Genomic DNA, 20,236 nt, shown 5'->3' with positions numbered 1-20,236 from the left:
TTTTAAGAGACAGAGTCTTGGCCTATTGCCCAGGCTGGAGGGCAGTGGTGCAATCACAGCTCACTGCAGCCTTGAACGCTTGGACTCAAGTGATCGTCCCACCTCAGCCTCCCAAGTAGCTGGGACTACAGGCATGCACCACCGCACCTGGCTAATTTTTAAATTTTTTGTAAAGACAGGGTCTCACTATGTTTCCCAGGCTGGTCTTGATCTCCTGGCCTCAAGAGATCCTCTTGCCTCGGCCTCCCAAAGTGCTGGGATTACAGTCATGAGCTCCATGCTGAGCCACCACCATGCCCAGCCTGGAAAGAAGGTCTTTGTGGATGTGATTCATTAGAGATCTTTTTTATTTTTATTTTTTATTTTTTTTGAGACGGAGTTTCACTCTTGTTGCCCAGGCTGGAGTGTAATGGTGCAATCTTGGCTCACTGCAATCTCCGCCTCCCAGGTTCAAGTGATTCTCCTGCCTCAGCCTCCCAAGTAGCTGTGATTACAGGCGTGTGCCACCACGCCCAGCTAATTTTGTGTTTTTAGTAGAGATGGGGTTTTACCATGTTGGCCAGGCTAGTTTCGAACTCCTGACCTCAGGTGATCCTCCTGCCTTGGCCTCCCCGAAGTGCTGGGATTACAGGTGTGAGCCACCACAGCTGGACTTCATTAAGGATCTTGAGAGGAAATCATTCCAGATTTAGGGTGGCCCTAAATCCGATGACTGGTGTCCTTAAGAGAGGACAAAGAGGGGCACGTGAAGATGGAGGCAGAGACTGGAATGATGTTGCCACATGCCAAGGAATGTTGGGCCACCAGAAGCTGCAAGAGGCAAAGAAGAATTCTTCCCTTACACTTTTGGAGAGAGCATCGCCCTGTCAACTCCTTAACTTCAGACTTCTAGTCTTCGCAACTATGAGAGAATAAGTGCATTTAAGCCATGTTGTTACGGCAGCCCTAGCAGCCCTGGAAAATGAATACACTGAGTGCTCGGATCCAGACCAGCATATGGAGCTGGTGATCTTATCTTGGGTTTCGTGATGACTGTTTTCCACGTCTCCACCTTCTTCCCCATGGCTGCACTGCACATTTACTGTGGATCTACACTAAGATCTCCTCCAAAGGACAGGTCAGTCCCAGCCGAGTTCACAGAAGCTTTGCATGCAGCTGTGGGGCTCACAGTCTTCCGAAGCTTTTGATTCTTACATCTCAGAATAAGAATTCCATTCATGAGCAGAGCAGGCAGTTTCCTGAAGCCATGTGAGATAAGGGGACTGAGGGGGCATGTGCCACAACACTCATTTCACAAAACTCCTGCCTCTGGAATAGGCCATTTAAAACAGGAAGAAGGCCAGGTACATTGGCTCATGCCTGAAATCCCAGAACTTTGGGAGGCTGAGGTGGGAGGATCCCTTGAGCTTAGGAGTTTGAGACCAGCCTGGGCAACATAGAGAGACCCTCATCTCTGTGAAAAATTAAAAAAAATTAGGCAGGTGTGGTGGCCTGTGCTTGTGGTCCCAGCTACTAAGGAGGCTGAGGCAGGAGAATTGCTTAAGCCTGAGGGTGAAATCGCAATGAGCCACGATTGCACTGCTGCATTCCAGCCTGGGTGACAGAGTGAGACCCTATCTCAAAAATAAAAAAAAATAAGGCTGGGCACGGTGGCTCATGCCTGTAATCCCAGCACTTTGGGAGGCGGAGGTGGGCAGATCACTTGAGGTCAGGAGTTTGAGACCAGCCTGGCCAACATGGTAAAATCCCATCTCTACTAAAAATACAAAAATTAGCCGGGTGTGGTGGCGTGTGCCTGTAGTCCCAGCTCCTCGGGAGTCTGAGGCAGGAGAATCGCTTGAACCCGGGAGGTGGAAGTTGCAGTGAGCCAAGATCTTGCCACTGCACTCCACCCTGGGTGACAGAGTGAGACTCCGTCTCAAAAATAAAATAATAAAAAAAAAGGGAAGAAAACTAGATGCTATCTCTGGGCCAATCTACCAAGCCATCATCAGCCATTAGTAGCCCCCACTGGCTAACATCAATTTAGGTGTAGTCAGTCATCCGAGAGACCTGAGGGACTGGGACACAGTGGGGATGAGTTTTGATGGGCAGGGAGATGAGCACTTTCTCCAGCAAGGAACTGAGGAGCCACATCCACTCCCTGAGCCCTGGCATATCTAGATTAGGTCCTGAGTGAGGACTGGAGTCGCTTCGCCCTGTTTCTAAATTTTTCTTAATACTTAGCTCAACAGGAATCAGCACGCTCTGTCTGCAGAGGGCCAGATAGTCAGTATATTAGTGTGCTAGGGCCGGCATAACAAAGTCCCACAGACTGGGCGGCTTCAACAACAGAAAGTTATTGTCTCCCAGTTCTGGAGGCCAGAAGTCCAAGGTCAAGGTGTCGGCAGGGTTGGTTCCCTGAGAGAGCAGTGAGAGAGTCTGATCCATGCCTCTCTCCCAGCTTCTGGTGGGTTGTCAGCTATCTTTGGGGTCCCTTAGCTTGTAGATGCATTCCCTCATCTCTGCCTTTGTTTTCACAAGGTGGTATCTCTGTGTGAGTGCCTGTGTTCAAGTTTCTCCTTTTAATAAGGACACCGGTCACATTGGTTTAGGAGCCCACCCTATTCCCGTACCTCATCTTAACTAATTGCATTTGCAAAGACATTATTTCCAAATAAAGTCATATTCTGAGGTACCAGAGGTTAGTACTTCGACATATAAATTAAGGTGAGAGGCTGCAATTTAACCCATAACTAAACATTTTAGGCTTTGGGGACTACGCAGTCTGTCACAACTACTCAACTTTGTTCTCGTAGTGTAAAGCAGCCAGTGACATATGTCAACGAATAAGCATGGCTGTGTTCCAATACAATCTTTATTTACAGACACTAGAATCTGAGTTGTATAATTTTGAATGTGTATAATTTTCACATGTCAAAAATTCTTCTTTTGAGTTTTTTTCAACCATTTAAAAATGTACAACTATTATTAGCCCGTGGCTAAAACAGGAGGAAGGCTGGATATAGCCCACTGTCTGTGATTTGCCCACTCATGATCTAAAAGCCAAAAGCTACTGGCTGGGCACAGTGGCTCACGACTGTAATCTCCACACATTTGGGAGGCTATGGTGGGAGGATCGCTTGAGGGCAGGAATTTGAGACCAGCCTGGGCAACATGGTGAGACCCAAGTCTCTACAAAAAGTAAAAAAAAAAAATAGCCAGGCGTGGTGGGGCACACCTTTAGCCCCAGCTACTCTGGAGGCTGAGACGGGAGGATTGCTTAAGCCCAGGAGTTCAAGGCTGCAGTGACCTGTGATCGCACGACTGCATTCCAGTCTGGGAGACAGAGCAGGACTCTGTCTCAAAAAAAAAAAAAAAAAAAAAAAAAAATCTATAATCTACCTAGGGCGGCCCTCCTTGGTTAAATTATGTGGTGGTCTTCGACAAGGCATGAGCTGCACAGACAGGTCTGGCAGGTCTGGCTGAAGTCCTTCTGAAGAACAAAGGAAACACAGAGTCCCTGCCCTATGGGAACTTATGGTGTCACAATGAGCAATCAATGAATGACAGAAGCCTCACGACAAAGGCCGCGATTAGAGTAATGCCAGGGCCGGGACAATGTGTTCTGTGCCCATAATCTGGTATTTACCTGGTGTGACCTAGAGCAAGTCACCCCATGACATTTGGGTTTCAGTTTCTTCCCCAACAAAATCAGCCAACTCACAAACCACCCCAGGGAGGAGAGGATTAGCTCATTAAAGATTTTAAAGCACTCTGAAAAGCTCTTTACATGTGTGCAGCTGGCAAATCATTCTGTAAAAGGAGATGGTATTTCAGGAAAGGTGAGAGGCACTGGTTGTCAGAGGCTGGAGAAGCTGCCTAGGAAACTTCCAGTGGCTGGATGGGAAGGTGGGGGCAGGAATCCAGGAAGCTGCTGCTTCCCAAGCCTGCCAGGCTTCTGGTTCCCACAGGCTGGTATCCATCTGGGCCTCATGCTGACAGTCTCCTGAGCACAGCCGAGCCTTCTCTCCCATAAACATCAAAAGGGAGGGGAGGGCATCACATTGGCTGGCTCCGGGATACCTTCCCAGCCTGGGAAGGCAGCCAACAAGTACCTGTCAGAGCCCACTGATAAGTCCGATGGGTTTAGATCAGTAATGTGTAGTTACATTGCACTCTATGTTGCCAAATGTGTACAGCAAATTTCAGCCTGGGCACCACGGCCACTGCCATTCTTAAATATGGACTTGACAATGGCAGGGGGCCTGCAGAGCGGCTTTGCTGGCTGCAGACTCCCAGATAGGATCAAGGCAGCTCACTTCAATCAAAGGGCTTGGAAAGAACTTGAAGAGAATTAAATAAGGATGTTCTAGAAATGCAAGGTATATTTAACTCCTCACAGGTCTGTAGATGGCTAGACCTGGAAAAGGCCTCCATGCCCTAGTCTAAATTCTTCATTTTATTTTATTTTTTTTAGAGACAGGGTCTCACTCTGTCACCCAGGCTGGTGTGCAGTGGCACGATCACAGCTCACTGCAGCCTTCACCTCCTGGGCTCAAGTGATCCTCCCACCTCAGCCTCCTGAGTAGCTGGGATTACAGGCACACATTACCACATCTGGCTTAGATTCTTCATTTTAGAGTTGAGGACACTGAGGCTGTGAGAGGGGAAGAGATATGCCCAGGGTCAGCCATCTGCGGCACAGCCAGGCCTTCCGGCCCCACGTCCACTCTTGTTTCACTATCACACTCTTTCTCATTCAAGCGGCCACTGCCTCTAACGGTGTCTGTACCTGACGGCAACTCAAATCCATCAGTGGCCCCACCTCTTAATGAGCCCAACCCAAACTCACTTCTCTCTAAAATGAAGAAGGAGGCTGGGTGCAGTGGCTCATGCCTGTAATCCCAGCACTTTGGGAGGCCAAGGCGGGTGGATCACTTGAGATCAGGAGTTTGAGACCAGCCTGACCAACCTGGTAAAACCCCATCTCTACTAAAAATACAAAATTAGCCGGGCATGGTGGCACATACCTGTAATCCCAGCTACTTGGGAGGCTAAGGCAGGAGAAATGCTTGAACCCAGGAGGCAGAGGTTGCAATGAGCCGAGATTGAACCATTACACTCCAGCCTGGGCAACAAGAGCGAAACTTCGTCTCAAAAAATAAAAAAATAAAATAAAATGAAGAGGGGGCATGGGACGACTGGGAAAAGTGGCCCCTAACTCCAGGCCAAGGCTGAAGTGGGAAAAGAAGAGTAACATTAGAAAGTAGCTTTTTTCTTAAAACCAAGATTACTCAATTTCGAGGCTGCTCTTTTCTCTGAGAATATGCCCTTTCCACTGTTTCAGTGTCAAAATGTCCCTTGTTTTATGGAGTGATGATGACAGTAGATGGCAGGGTTTTTCCCCAGTGTCCTTCTTTGGACATTGGAAATGTAGTCTCCCTTGGAAATTACTTTCTCTTACTTGGCGAAATAAATAGTGGACAATCTTCCAATAGGCCTGTACTTAAAAAAAACAAAAAGGTCCATTCCAAGAAATCTGAACATCTGTAAAGCATGGGGCTAGAAAATCCAACCCGGCTCTACTCTTTGGTGATTCTTCTAGAGAATGCGGCTGCAGCAACATCCACTGCAGTGAGGACAGCTGCAGCCATGGCAGCAGGGATGCCTGCATGAGCAGCTCAGGTTGGCTGGGCTTTACTCCAGGCCAGGTGCTGTTCTGGCATTTTATACACTGTGCCTGAACCCTCACAACAACCCTATGAGCTGGGGCCTATTATCATCCCCATTTTTACAGAGGAGGAAACCGAAGCCTCAACCCACTTCTCCAGCCCCATCTTCTACCACCGTATGGCATACAGATCATTATTTATATAATCGTGTGTCTTAGAATCTTTACTAGATCCTCCTTGGTTCTTTGATAGAAGAGTCTTGGACATCTTCACATTATTTTCTATAGACACAGTCATTGAGTACACAAACTTATTTATATGTTTATTTTTTGAGACAAGGTGTCTCCCTGTTGCCCAGGCTGGAGTGCCATGGCACTGCTCACCACAGCCTCAACCTCCTGGGCTCAAGTGATCTGCCTCAGCCTCCCAAATAGCTGGGACCACAGGTGCATGCCACTATGCCTGGCTAATTTAAAATTTTTTTTAGTAGAGATGGGTCTCCCTGTGTTACCCAGGCTGGTCTCAAATTCCCGGGCTCCAGCGATCCTCCTGCCTTGGGCTCCCAAAGTGTTGGGATCACAGGTGTGAGCCACCACACCCAGCTGCAAGTTTATTTGTGTTGGTAGTGCAGGGCACTGATTAACCAAAGTCAACCGATTCTTCACTTAGTGCCTAATGTAAATACACAGTACATTACTAAGGTAATATTCATTTTATTCTGCAGCATATTTCATCAGCTTTCCTCAATCACTGGCACACTGCCTGTTTTCTTTCAGCCTTTTAAGGGGCTCAATTTATCTCTTCTAGGTAAATGCGTGATCACCTGATCCCTCACCAAAGAGTATGAGACAGAAAGAATGGCAAGTGTTCTCTGGGAGCTGCCAATGACCTGGTACCACACGATTTTTTATTTTTACATAACATATGGGTGAGGGGATACACTATAGAAAGATTCAGGTCTGCTGAAGATTTATTGTAGTGGATCTGTTGGAATAGAGTTCTAGACAGAAAGAAAATCAGATGGAAGAACTAGCTAGACTCACTGTGCGAATCTGGGAAAGGACTACGGGTCCTTGAGTTTCCCCATCCACGAAATGGTAATAAAGGAAGCTCTCCCAAGTATTTTCTGCGAGGGTTGTGAAGAGCAATATAACTTCCGGACAGTCTTAAAAAGAGAGTATCTTTTTCTGGTTTATTGCATACAAGATGTCATTGAATCTTTATAATTATGTTAAGTATTAGGACCTAGATCTGATGGCTCAGGCCTACCCAGGGAAAAGGCCAGGCCCACTCCAGAGGTGGCCGAAAGGTCTCAGCCCAGGGCAGACGTGATTGGTGTCTGGGCCAGGATGACCCCTCCCCAACCCCCAGCTTTAAGTACTCCTCACCCTCCCACCTCCTGCTGGCCATCCTGGGAAGATCTGCTCGAGAAGGTTCTCCACCCCCACTGGGTCCTAACCCTTTATTGAGAAGCAAACTTACTGCTCTTCTGAACTAGTAACCCACCAAGCTCTTTTCTGAAGGTCCCTCATCCTTTTCAGCCTCCAGAGAAGCCACATACTACATTCACGTGGAGGTTGAGCAACCACCCTCATTTTTGGAGCCAAACTGCTTGGATTCGAATCTAGGATCTACCACACACCAGTTGTACAGCATTGGTTAAGTTACTGCATTCCTTCTCTGAGATTACATCCTCTTGACTGTTTTAGTGTGAAAATGAAAATGTTCTTTATTTATGCAGTGATAGTAGGAGAAGATGTACCAGTGTCTTTCCTTGGACATTAGAAATGTAGTCTCTCATTGGAAATTACTCTTTCCTACTGGGCAAAATAAAGAGTGAACAATCTACCATCAGGTCTCTATGAAAGAAAACAGTACCAATATAAGGAATTGGCACGCTCCAAAGAATCAACGCTCTGCTTTCCCTCTATTGGTAAAATGGGGCCAATAATAGCAGCATTCTGTTAATGAATTACATTAGTAAATAAATGGCTTAATTCAATGTGAAGTGCTTAGATCAGTGCCTGGCCAATGGTAGTTGCTCAATAAATAACTATAGGAACTATTATTACTCCACTCCTATCATACTCACCCATCTCCCCACATTACTTCTGGAAACTCCTCCTTGTCTGGCTGTACCCCCACATGCAGGCAGCCTCCTGCCTCAGGTGCCTTGTTCTGAAAGCCTACAAATCCCTTCTCAGATTCCTGCAGATGCCCAGGGCTCAACAGGGCACATCTGGCCTTGGTCCTGATTAGCTTGGATTGTCCGGTCCAGGCTGAGCTACTCGCCTGGAATCCCTGCCTTCAGCTCCTCTGCAGCTCTGTGAGCTTCTCTGGGGATACTCGTTGACGGCCAAGATGCCTCTCCTGGAACATATTGGTGAAGACTCGGCTGCCTTGGCTTTTGTGATGGGCTTTATTTTCCTCTAAGATCTGACATTCGATACTTACCACTTAATAGTCATTTATTTAACACCTTTTTCTTTCCTGATGTCAGGAAGGACAAACATTTTGGCAGAGGCTTATCAGCCACCTGCATCTCTGCCAACTTTTGAGGGATGTGGTTACGTTTTCTAGATCCTAACATCAGAACTCTCTCTCTCTCTCTCTAACATCAGAACTCTCTCTCTCTCTCTCTCTCTGGGCTCCAGGGCCACTGCTCCTTGTCTAGTCCCCCCAGCCCAGGTGGAGGGGTGCCCTGCTGTGGCTAAGCCCTGGGCTGCTCTGTTTTCTTAGTTGGACACTGAATGAGACCGCTGCAGAGTGTGCTGTCTATTCAAACTTGTGATATCTCCTTCATAATCTTAAACTGACTTCACATACCCCAAAGCAGCATTAATCAGATCTGCGCAGGTGAACTCTGGGTTCTTAGGCTGGGAGGAGGGTGGGGTGGGGTAACGATCAGATAACAGAGCCCCCAGGTTTGTGCAGGTGAAGCCACATCACCTGCCAGCCTGGGAAGACATATCCTTCCCTCTAACCAAGGAAGAAAGTCCTGTGAGGGTGGGGGAGATCCAGTCTGCAGGCTGTAGGCATCAGGGGCAGGGACTGGGAGAACAGGGGCATCTGCCCTTTTTCTAAAGCGAGGGGCTGCTGCTGACTGCTGCTGGGACTGAGACCTTCTGATTTACCAAGATAAGCCAGAAATGGTGTTCTCTTTGTGAAATCTCCCAAGTTTTAAATATTGGCAACAAAGTCAAAGTTTTCCAAAACACTGGATGGCCAAAGAAAGCACATCTGTGGGGTAGACTCACCCTGTGGGCCTTCAGTCTGCGACCTCTGACTAGTTACTAAGGAAGAAATTAAAAGGAAGAGGGAGTGGTGGTGAGCGCATCCCTGCCTTACCCTCCTGGAGATTCCCTTGGAGGCAGGAAAAGCCCAGCCCTCTTGACCCCTGCGGCTCTCAGAAGCCTGAAGTTCAGCCTCTGTGGCAGCATCAATAACTAGGGTCTACACTGAGATCATCCAACTTAGCCCATAACCGATTCCTAACCGTGGAGTCAAAGGCCAGGGAGGGGTCAACAGGAGCCAGAAACCAGCCTGTGCGCGCCTCATGGACTCTCACGAGAAGCATAAGCAGAGATCAGGGCTGGACCACACATCTGCAGCCCCCTGACCTTGGCATGGTCTGCAGCACGTGGCTGGAAAAGCCCAGCTGGTGACTCTAGGGGAGGATGGTGTGCATTTTCTATGCAGCGTGTTATAGGTCAGGAGGCCTGGAATGGGAAAGCCAGAGGTCTCTCTTGGAGGATGAGGAGCAAAGGCAGCCTTGTAGGGTTGCCTCTACTTACAATTTGCTGTGTGATCTTCCGGAGAACAAATAGTGCCTCAGTTTATCCATCTTTAAAATGGCAGTAAACATATGAGAACCCAGCACCCTTGAGGATGGGCACCAAGAACCGTATTTGTGGATTTGATGAAGATAAAGAAAACTAGTTGCCAAGGAGTAGTGTGGCCTTTGATCACTCTCTCAGGTCCTGTATTTGGCAGCAATGAGTAGGAAAATCACCCATGAATTAGGAGGGATCTTCATACAGACTAAGTCAAAAGGCAGCCTGTGTCTTGCAAAGAGACAGCGACCTTTCACTCTGTCATTCTTTGGGGACACTCCCTTCAAGCTCCCTGGCCTTAATTTTCACAGATGAGGGTGATATCTGACCCCCTAATTAGTTACTAGACAACACGATGGCCCCTAAGTACCAATAATAAGGTGTTTCCACTCCAGGTCCTCAGCAAAGGGAACAACCTGAAATTCTCTCCTGTGGAAGACGTGTTGAAAGCCCAACTGAGAGACAGTGTTGGCTGAGGAGCCTAGTGAACTGGGGTCCACCTCTCCTGCTGGAGGCTCTGAAGTCGACCCTGGAGCAGCAGAGCCCCCTGAGGGTCCCACCTGCACAGCATTGCTTTGGTTCACAGCCGCACTGACCTAACACCGCCAGCCTGAGGAAAGGAGGATGGTCAGAGCGCCCTGCAGGGCTCACTGTGCTCCCTGGAAGGAAGCTTTGGAGCCTGGTGTTTACTAACCTGCACAGTGTGTGTCCCTGCGAAGAGGTCCCACGACAAAGTGTTCTCTCTCATCAGAGCAGGGGAAAAGGCTGAGTTTCTATCTCACAGATACTGACTCACGTAGCTGAAACAATTGCCCTCTCCAAGTCAGCTGCCAGAACGCTCAGAGAGAAATCTGTGGGCCACCTCTTACAAATGTATAGGCGATTCCACAGTTTGTGTACTAGCCTCCCCGTTACTTCTTTTGTAAATATTCAATCTTATTGTGTTGCATATATTTAGGTAAATGCTCTAATTCCTTTTGGGACCAAGACAGGTTCATACACAGGCACTAAAAAGGTGAGAAAACAAACAAACAAAAAATCCTCACGTCATCACAGATTGGCTACTTTAATGATTCTGCCTTTAGTTTCCCTCCTATCCCCAAAAATTCTGTATCATATCATACTTGGAATATGAGTTTTCACATTTACCAAAATAATAGGGTATCTTAATTTTTTTTTTTCTTGAATCTCCTTTCATGGCCAGCATAGAGAGGTTTCTAGAATGAACCCAAACTTGGGACTCGGGGCCCCTGGGCTCCTCCTGTAGCCAACTGCAGTGGATGGTGGGTCCCCTTTGTTTGGGGGATTTACAGCAATTGTCTTAACGACATGGACCTCTTTTGTGAAAGCTGCAGGCGTTCCCAGCAAATGTTGGCTGCAAATACACTAGCCGGGATGTTGCCACGGTCACGGCCCTTCCTCGAACAATCTAAAGCATATTTCTCTCTGTATATATTTGTTTTTTTAGATGCTTTAAAGCCTGGAAAACAATCATAGCTGAGGCCATTTCTGAGATGGCACTAAAAGAACCTACTCGGAGACAGATAAAAATAATGAGAATCTTTCTGTCAGGAAAGATTTAGAAAATATCACTGGCATTATTAAAATTTAATTTTTTACTCCGCTTTTTGGTTCCCCTTTCCAGTGATAATGAGCAGGACTGCACACCTCCGCCTTGCTAGTACTTGTTTTGTGCAATAAATTCAGCCTTCCAGTCTGAAGACATTTCAGACAACAGTTTTGACTGCTATAGGCTTATTTTTTACCCTGTGCTATGCTTTGAGTCTTCCTATAAAAACCAGTTCATGAGATAATTTTCCACAAGGCCAGTGGAACTAATAAAAATCAATTTTGCCCAACTGGTTCAGAGAAATCTTGGGAATAGCCAAGGCAGAACTGCAGAAAGGGGGAAAAAAAGGATCAATGTATTCACTAATGGTTTACTTGATAGAGAACTATCAAATTAGCTGACAGGAGACGCTTGGCTGTAGGAAATTTCCTTTCAGCCTAAACAGAATGCCTTTTACAGGCCCAGGAAGAACTTTTCCCTCCCAGGGTTTGAAGATACTCTAGTATAGTGATTCTTCCAAGGACTTGCCCACACCAGGGCCAACCTGGGGCCTGACAGATGGTGGCCTCTGCTTGTCCAGAACCTCTTTTATATGAGAGGAGCCAGTTTTGTGAAGAGGTGGGCTGCATTTTACTTGAATTGCTCTTAGACCACGAGATCAGTGGGTTGGGAATTCATCAGTTCACTTGGATGCCTTAGGTTCTTGAGACCTTCTCACACCCCTTGCAGACACATGACAGCCTTCTTTTTTTTTTTTTTTTTTGACGGAGTCTTGCTCTGGGGCCCAGGCTAGAGTGCAGTGGCTCAATCTCGGCTCACTGCAACCTTGGCCTCTGGAGTTCAAGTGATTCTCCTGCCTCAGCCTCCCGAGTAGCTGGGATTACAGGTGTCTGCCACCATGCCTGGCTAATTTTTTTAAAAACATTTTTTAGTAGAGACAGGGTTTCATCGTGTTGGCCAGGCTGGTCTCGAACTCCTGACCTCAGGTGATCTGCCCACCTTGGCCTCTCAAAGTGCTGGGACTACAGGGGGCAGCCACCGCGCGTGGCCCCGTGACAGCTTTTAGATCCCCCATATTGGCTTCTTGGCAATCCAAGTGGGATTTCAAGGGGGCACCTCTTTTATAATCAGAACACAAGGCTTAACGACTGTCTAGCTTTCATTAGTTCAAAACACTAGTTGAACTAACAGCAAGTCTTTGCACAGAAAGAAAAAGAACTGGAAGGAAACGCAGCCAAGTGTTAATGGTGTTTATACTCGGGTGGTGGGTGTTTTTTCTATCTTTATGTATTTCTACACTTTCTTGAATTACCGTATCTTATTACATATATAATAATTATTTAAAATAATGCTAAACTAAAAATTCAGTATATTGAATAAAAGAAACATAATAGACTAATTTATTCACAGTGTTATAAGAGAGTAAGAGGGGGCTGGGCGCAGTGGCTCATGCCTGTAATTAAGCACTTTGGGAGGCCGAGGTGGGCGGATCACCTGAGGTCAGGAGTTAGAGACTAGCCTGGCCAATATATAGTGAAACCCTGTCTCTACTAAAAATACAAAAATTAGCTGGGTGCGCTGGCACATGTCTGTAGTCTCAGCTACTTGGGAAGCTGAGGCAGAAGAATTGCTTGAACCCAGGAGGCAGAGGCTGCAGTGAGCTGAGACTGTGCCAATGCACTGCAGCCTGGGTGACAGAGCAAGACTGTCTCTCAGAAAAAAAAAAAAAAAAAAAGAGTAATAGGGAATGTGTAGGAGAAAAAAGAACAAGGGTAAAAATTATTTAAAAATTTTTTTTAGTGACTTCTACTATCCTAAGTCCTTCACTCAAATTATTTTATTTAATCCTCATACCAAATCTATGGCAAAGGTGTCAATGTTCCCATTTTCCAGAGGAGGAGACTGAGGCTTAGAGAGTTAAGTTAGCCAAGATCACACAGCTAGTTGGTGGAAAAGCTGGTATTTAAAATCGGATCTGATGTCAAAGACCACATGCAATACAACAGTGAGGAAAATAACAAGTCACAGAATGTCTTGCTTTCTAGCTGTAGTTCCAAACGGCTATGATGCCAGGTGAGTCACTTTGCATTTATGATTAAAGTCAGGGACAACAACATCTGTCCTTTTTTCCTATCTCATGGGTTCTTGTGATGCTGAAATTAGATCACACGTGTAAAAGAAGAGAAAACGCAATGTCCTCCTCAAAGGAATATGGTAATATGATAATATTTCATATAATATCGGTGAGTTGAGGGTTGTCACGAATGCTCTTTGGGTACTGATAATTTTCAAAGAAAAACTTATACAAAAGCAGAATTATTATTAAGACTATATTGAATAAATTTGTTTTTGATGATTCAGAAAGTTTAACAGAATCTGACCCTATCCTAGTCATCATTAGGACCACTAATTTTCTTGCTGATAATATATTATGTAAAAAGCAAGGGTTACAAATAGTACGTATAGTATGATCTGAATTTTGCAAAAACTACATATATAAATGTAAAACAGAAATCGGAAAGATATACATTGAAATGTAAATAATGATTGTGTCTAGGCGTTGGGATCATAATTTTAATTTTTTATTTATTATTTTATTTTATTATTATTTTTTAGAGGCAGAGTCTCACTCTGTTGCCCAGGCTGGAGTGCAACAGCGTGATTATAGCTCATTGCAACCTCAACCTCCTGGGCTCAAGCAGTCCTCCCACCTCAGCCTCCTGAGTAGCTGGGACCACAGGCATGCATGACCACACCTGGCTAATTTATTTTTTGTAGCAATGGGGTCTTACTCTACTGTCCAGGCCGGTCTCGAACTCCTGGCCTCAAGTGATCTTCCCACCTAGCCTCCCACAGTGCTGGGATTACAGGCATGAGCCAATGCGCCTGGCCAGGATCATGATTTTTTAAAAATCTCTGATTTTTTGAATTTTACAATTTTTTTTTGCATTTTGCATTTTGATTTGAATTTTGCAAATTTTGGGGTAATAAATATGTACTGTTTCTATAATCAGAAAATATGATCCAGCCCCCTCTTCCCCACAGTACAAAAACATCACCTTTTTCCTTGAATAAAACTGTAAAATAAATTCTGAGCTTTGTGGTTGTTTGAGTTCTGGTGAAATAAAAGTTTATGTGGAATACATTTAGAACTTAAAAAGTGAGGGGTGAGGGGTGTGGGCACTTCATCTTCTTTATGCAGGTCAGACTCAGTCGGTTGAGGGCTTTTGCCGACACAGCTTGACTGCAAACCATCAGAGGTCAAGAAGCAGGAGGGTACACAGTGCACCTGGAGAGAAAAACCTCATGCCTGCAACTGCAATGATGTCGTAAAACATCAGCACCTAGTCTGATTCTAGAACAATCTGATGGTTTGCCTGATGGCCTTAGAAGCAGAGCCGTGCCTCCTATCGGAGCACACAATCAGGAGCATAGCAGAAAAGCGCCACCCTGTTTGTAAAAACAAGGCCCAGTTCAGAGTTCAAGCAGTGCCACCAAGGAAGCTATTTTTAAGTATCTAATTGCGTTTGTAGCATCTGGCATTTTGCACACTTCATTTTTATGACTTCAGCATGATACATGTTCCACAAGACAAACAAACAAAAGAGAGATTAAGTGTGGTACATTGGAGTCATGTTGAATATTCCCAGTATAGAAACATTATAATATGCCCTAGAGATTATTCCAGGGCCAAGTAAAACATTACCCAATGTATAGAACCTTGGAATGGGGAATACTTAGCAGTGCAGGAGAACGGGAATTTACTTCATTTATTAGGCCAGTATACAGCCTCAGATGCTAACATGCACTGATAGGAAATGCCAACATTTCAACTTGAATCAAGGCCAGAGCCCATAACATCGACACTTTGCCTTTCAGCAAAGGATCACAAACAGCACAAATCTGGGTTTCTTGTACTAATTGGGGAGGTTTTCTAATTTGCTTATGATATCTGCCTCATGTCGAGCTAATCTTCCTCCGGTTACCTCCTAACGCTGTCTGAAATAATCCGCTTACTCCTGGTCTGTCCGCAGCACTTTATATCAAATAACACTGGCTTCCTTAACACAGCCACGGCAAAAGGCAGCCTCAGCCCCAGCCCTGTGCTTCCACTTCACCGAGTGTGCGACAATTACTGCAGATGCCTGTAACAGAGCCAGGCGAGGCAAGGAACAAGAGTGCATCACAGGCTTTTGAGTCAGTGAGACTGATGATGAAATATGTGCTAAACAGCACCAATTAACAACTGAAAGCATAATCTGATCAGCATTTTGAAAAGACTGAGACGTAACTTTGCTTTCTCAGACAGGCAGGCAAAATATTTCAGGGTGTTGAGCAGCCTACGTAATTATCACCATCAACATCCAAACTCAGTTCAAAAAAACTTTTTTTCTAAATACAGTCCCCACCTTTCCCCTCTTTTAAAAGGCTCATGTAAACATTCACTGACACAGCCAGGAGGCTTCATTGATACGGGCTGGCAATACCACTTCAGTAGTATCATTGCCGTATCTTGACTCGGTTTTTATGAGTCAGATTTTTGAAGAGTTCTGGGGAAGGAAATGTTTTAATTTTCATAAAGGAGAATCACTCAAAATTCCAATGCTCATAAAACGTGCCCTAGGTGTGTGTGTAGGGGTGATTATGTCAACAAACAATAGCAGCATTGGGCTGGAGAGCTCATTTGGGGAAGAGTGTGGTACTAAGGTGAGAGCCAGGCTCGGGTCCCAGGTGGGCTGCTGGGCTGTGTGACCTCAGGCAGAGCACTTTCTGCTTCTGGGCCCCCATTTCCTGATCTGCAAAGCATGAGACGTTGGGACACGTAAGGACTGGGGGACTTCTAAGACTCCTTCTAACACTAAGAGTCTACAGGTTTTGTTTGTTTGTTTTGAGATGGATTCTCTTGCACTGTCGCCCAGGCTGGAGTATAGTGGTACAATCTCGGCTCACTGCAACCTCTGCCTCCCGGGTTCACATGATTCTCCTGCCTCAGCCTCCTGAGTAGCTGGGATTATAGGTGCACACCACCACATCCAGCTAATTTTTTCTACGTTTAGTAGAGACGGGATTTCACTATGTTGGCCAGACTGGTCTCAAACTCCTGACATTGTGATACGCCTGCCTCAGCCTTCCAAAGTGCTGGGATTACAGGCGTGAGCCATCGTGCCTGGCCGAGTCCACAGTTTTTAATTGAAAGGTTCTTATTCCTTTCCTATAAATGTGTCTATTCTAACTACGCAATCCCAGCATCTCTTTTCCCCTGCTATGCAACACAACATATTTGAAAGTGTTTCCCTCACATTTTAGGAGGCTACTGAAGCAAAAAAAAAAAAGTTATATTGTTTAATCTTACTTTACAGGAGTTTGCTTTTTTATTAGAGAACAGACTCAGAACAGTGATCAGTGTAAGTTATACGTACCCAAAGTGAGGGGGTGCTGTGGGGGGAAGAAAAAAGGAGGCTGCCTTCAAGCACCTTGTGGAAATGTATAAAACAAGCAACGAGATAGTCCTTTGCCAAACACTGTCATAAATTTTTTATTTGGCAGCTAACATTCTCACTGGTTTTCTTGGCAGCAATTGGGACCTTTAGCAAGAAAGGTGCAGAAGAAAAATACCTTGTTTAGAGATGTTTTCAACACTTTCTGGGATTTTTCAGAACTTCTGCCTGCAGCACATATTTACAACTATAGTCTCCAATCACCTGATGAGTGGGTGGTGGGGTTTAAACTTTCTTCTTTTTTAAAAAAAGAATATATAGAGAGAAAGTGAACAAGCAGTGCTACCCCCCTCTGGCCTTTTGCTGAGCGTGTCTTTCTTATTTTTTGTGGTAGGCATTTCTGATATCCAAGTGGTTAGTCTTCTCTGTCTAGACAAAAAACTGAAAATAATATCAGAATGTACCTTTTGTTGCGCCTGATACTATCTATATTGTATTCCCAGATGACAGAGATAAATGAAAGTGAAACAACCTGATGACTAGGGCATTTTTCTTCAACAGTTCCGCCAAAAACAGGTCCCACCTGTTGCCTTTGGGTCAGCTAATGGGCCAAGAGCTGCCTGGATTCAAAGCTCATGTGAGCACATGCAGACGGGATCCTGGCAGTTACACCCTGATGGTGGAAGGAATGAAACAAGAGCATGCAGAGCTGGTCATTGCCATATTGGAGAACCTCAAGCACCAAATGCCCTTTGAGGAGGGGTCTTTGGGATTCTGGGAAGTAGAGGCCCAAATCCGCAAAGATGAGGTCTTTCATTGCAAGGGTATCCTAAACACTTTCTACAAACACATTCTACAGACCAGCAAAAATCCTCCTACCAGGGGACTTCCAGCTATGAGCGAAGAGGTCGGCAAATTCACAAAACAAGTATAAAACTGGAGAATGCACCAAAAAAAAAAAAAACGTCTTTTAGTGATCTGGATGACGACCAAAGGCAAAAAACAAGTTGAGAAGTGCTTATTCATAGAAAACTGGCAGAATTTTGGGTAAGAACAACCCCACCTCACCCCTTAGCTTAGTTGGCTAGAATGATGGTTTTACCAGGGTGGGGCTGCCAGAAGAGGCTGACTTGATTTGGAGCAGAGGGCAAAACCCAGGCCTAGCAGCATTGTCAATAAAAGTAGCAAACTCGGTAGGTAATGAATGGTGAAAACCCACACCTCTGCTAGCCTAAAGTTACAGTCCTAGTTGGGGCGGGTAACAGGCCAACCAAAAATGTGATGGGGAGATCCTGGAAATGAAAGAGCCACAGAAGTGCTAGATAAGCTCTCTATGCATCTCTTATGGAGTGGGAAAGTATATATATGTGCTGGGAAGACCTGAGAGACACCAGTGAGAAGCCAAAGCCAAGGCAAGCTTGGGAACTGGCTGAACTTTGAATGTGCTCTGCAACCCACACACAGATCACTGCAGAGGATGTAAGCCTTATGGGTTGGAGGTTTTTGAATACAATCTCTGCCCAGTCATTGGCTGACCACTAAGCTATGCACACAAAGGGGCAACCCCTAGGAAACCAGCCTCATAAAATAAAGATAAGACTTGAGGAAAAGAAAAAAGCAACAACTGAGTAGACTGCAGCGGAGACAGATTCTAGAGACTACATTCAGAAAAGCTACTTAAAAATACTAGACTCTTGTGTTGCTACAATATATTATCTAAAATGTCCTATTTTCAACAAAAAAATGACATGATAACAACCACCAAAAAAAAAAAAAGGAAAGAAAAAAAGGTGTGATCTATATATTCAGGGGAAAAAAGCAGTCAATAGAAACTGACTCTGAGTGGATCTGATGTTAGATTTAGCAGACTCCCAAGCAGCTATTAGAAATATGTTCAAAGAATTGAAGAAAATTATGCTTAAAGAATTAGAAGAAATTATGATGACAATGCCTCAACAAAGAAGAAATCTCAACAGAGAAAGAGAAATTATAAAAAAGAGCCAAACGGAAATTCTACAGTTGAATATACAGTAAATGAAATGAAGAGGAATTATGAACTCGAAAATCTGTCTAAAGAAATTATCCAATCTGAAGAAGAAAAAGGAAAAAAGACTGATGAAAAATGAACAGGGAGGGCTTCAGAGACCTGTGTGACAATATCAAGCATACCAACATATGTGTAATGGGAATCCAAGAAGAAGAGGAGAGAGAGTAGCAGATAAATATGTTGGTAGAAATGATGGCTGACAGCTAAACTCTTGAAAATAGCAAGACAAAAATGACTCATCATGCACAGGCAAATAACAAATATGATTAATGGCTGACTTCTCATCAGAAACAATGGAAGAGAAGACAGTGGAATGACATATTCTAAGTGTCAAAAAGGGTGAGGTGGGGGACTTATCAACCAAGAATTCTATATCTAGCAATACTATCCACTAAAAGTGAAGGTGACATAAAGACTTTTCTAGATAAACAAAGAATAAGAGAATTTTTTTTAGTAGACTTGCTGTACAAGAAATACTAAATAAAGTCCTTCAGGCTGAAAGAAATTATGCCAGATGGTAATTCAAATCCACGGAAGGAAATAAGAACACTGGAAATGGTAAATATGTAGGCAAATATAAAAGACTGTATAAATATATATATTTTTCTTCCCTTAATTTCTTTAAAAACCATTAGATTGCACAGCACTCACTATAATTTTGTATTGTTGGGTTTATATCATGTGTAGATATGATAATCATAGTCATATCTATACGTAACAAAGGAAGAGGGAGGAAATTGGTTATATTGGAATAACACTGCTATATTTTATTAGAATTAAGTCAGTATCAACCTGAAGTAGTTCATGAAAAGTTACAAGATACAATTCCTAGAGCAAAGACTGAGAACATTTAAAAATGTAATAAAAAAAATCAATATGTGAATTAAAATGGCATACAAAAATATCTATTTTTAAAAAGGAGGCAGAAAAGCAGAAACAGGAACAAAAAGACATAAGGAATATAGAAAACAAATAGCAAAATGGCAGACATAAATTCAACAGGACTAAAAAAAATCACATGTTAAATGTTAATGGACTAAATGTTAACATGTACATGTTAAAGGACTAAACACTCCAGTCAAACAGCAGAGATTGTTAGACTGGATATAAAAGACCCAACTTTATCCTGTCTGTAAGAGACACATTTCAGGTTAAAAAGCACATAGAGGGTGAAAGTTAAAAGGTGAAAAAATATATGCAAACAGTAACTATAAGGAGCTAGAGTGTCTATATTAATATCAGACACATGGCTTTTAAGACAAATAGTCTTAGGAACAAAAAAGGATGTTTCACAAATATAAGACAATCAATGTATTGAGGAGATACAATGATGATAAACATACACACACCTAATAACTAAGTCTTGAAAAACGTGAAGCAAAAACTGATAAACAAAAGGAGAAGAGAAAGTTCAACAATTATACTCAGAGATTTCACCACCCTATTCTCAATAACTGATAGAATAACTAGACAGGAAATCAGTAAGGCTATAGAAGACTAAGTAGACTAGATATAGAAATCAACATTTATAGAACATACATAGACCATACATAGGCCATAAAACAAGTCTCAATAATTTATTATTAAATAATAATTTATTATTAAAAATATTGAAATAATAAAAAATATGTTCTCTAATCACAAGACTAAATTATAAATCAATAATAGAAAGTAATTTGGTGGCCAGGCGCGGT

General features: G+C 44.0%; 1 protein-coding gene across 6 annotated transcripts in view, besides 1 other annotated feature; it reads right to left on the bottom strand.

Annotated features, from left to right (window-relative positions):
- Window positions 1-20,236, bottom strand: part of VTI1A (vesicle transport through interaction with t-SNAREs 1A) — a 408,381-nt gene that overhangs the window by 47,145 nt on the left and 341,000 nt on the right. The gene's annotated exons all lie outside the window — the stretch shown is intronic.
- Window positions 3,497-3,996: an enhancer, noted in NCBI's record as "H3K4me1 hESC enhancer chr10:114563987-114564486 (GRCh37/hg19 assembly coordinates)". NCBI's record gives its function as "activates a minimal SCP1, AML or CMV promoter by ChIP-STARR-seq in naive H9 embryonic stem cells {active_cell/tissue: H9 hESC(naive)}" and the evidence as "EXISTENCE:reporter gene assay evidence [ECO:0000049][PMID:30033119]".

This window comes from Homo sapiens, chromosome 10 (genome assembly GCF_000001405.40).
Source record: "Homo sapiens chromosome 10, GRCh38.p14 Primary Assembly".
Taxonomy (NCBI): domain Eukaryota; kingdom Metazoa; phylum Chordata; class Mammalia; order Primates; family Hominidae; genus Homo; species Homo sapiens.
This window is presented reverse-complemented; position numbering and strand designations above follow the sequence as displayed.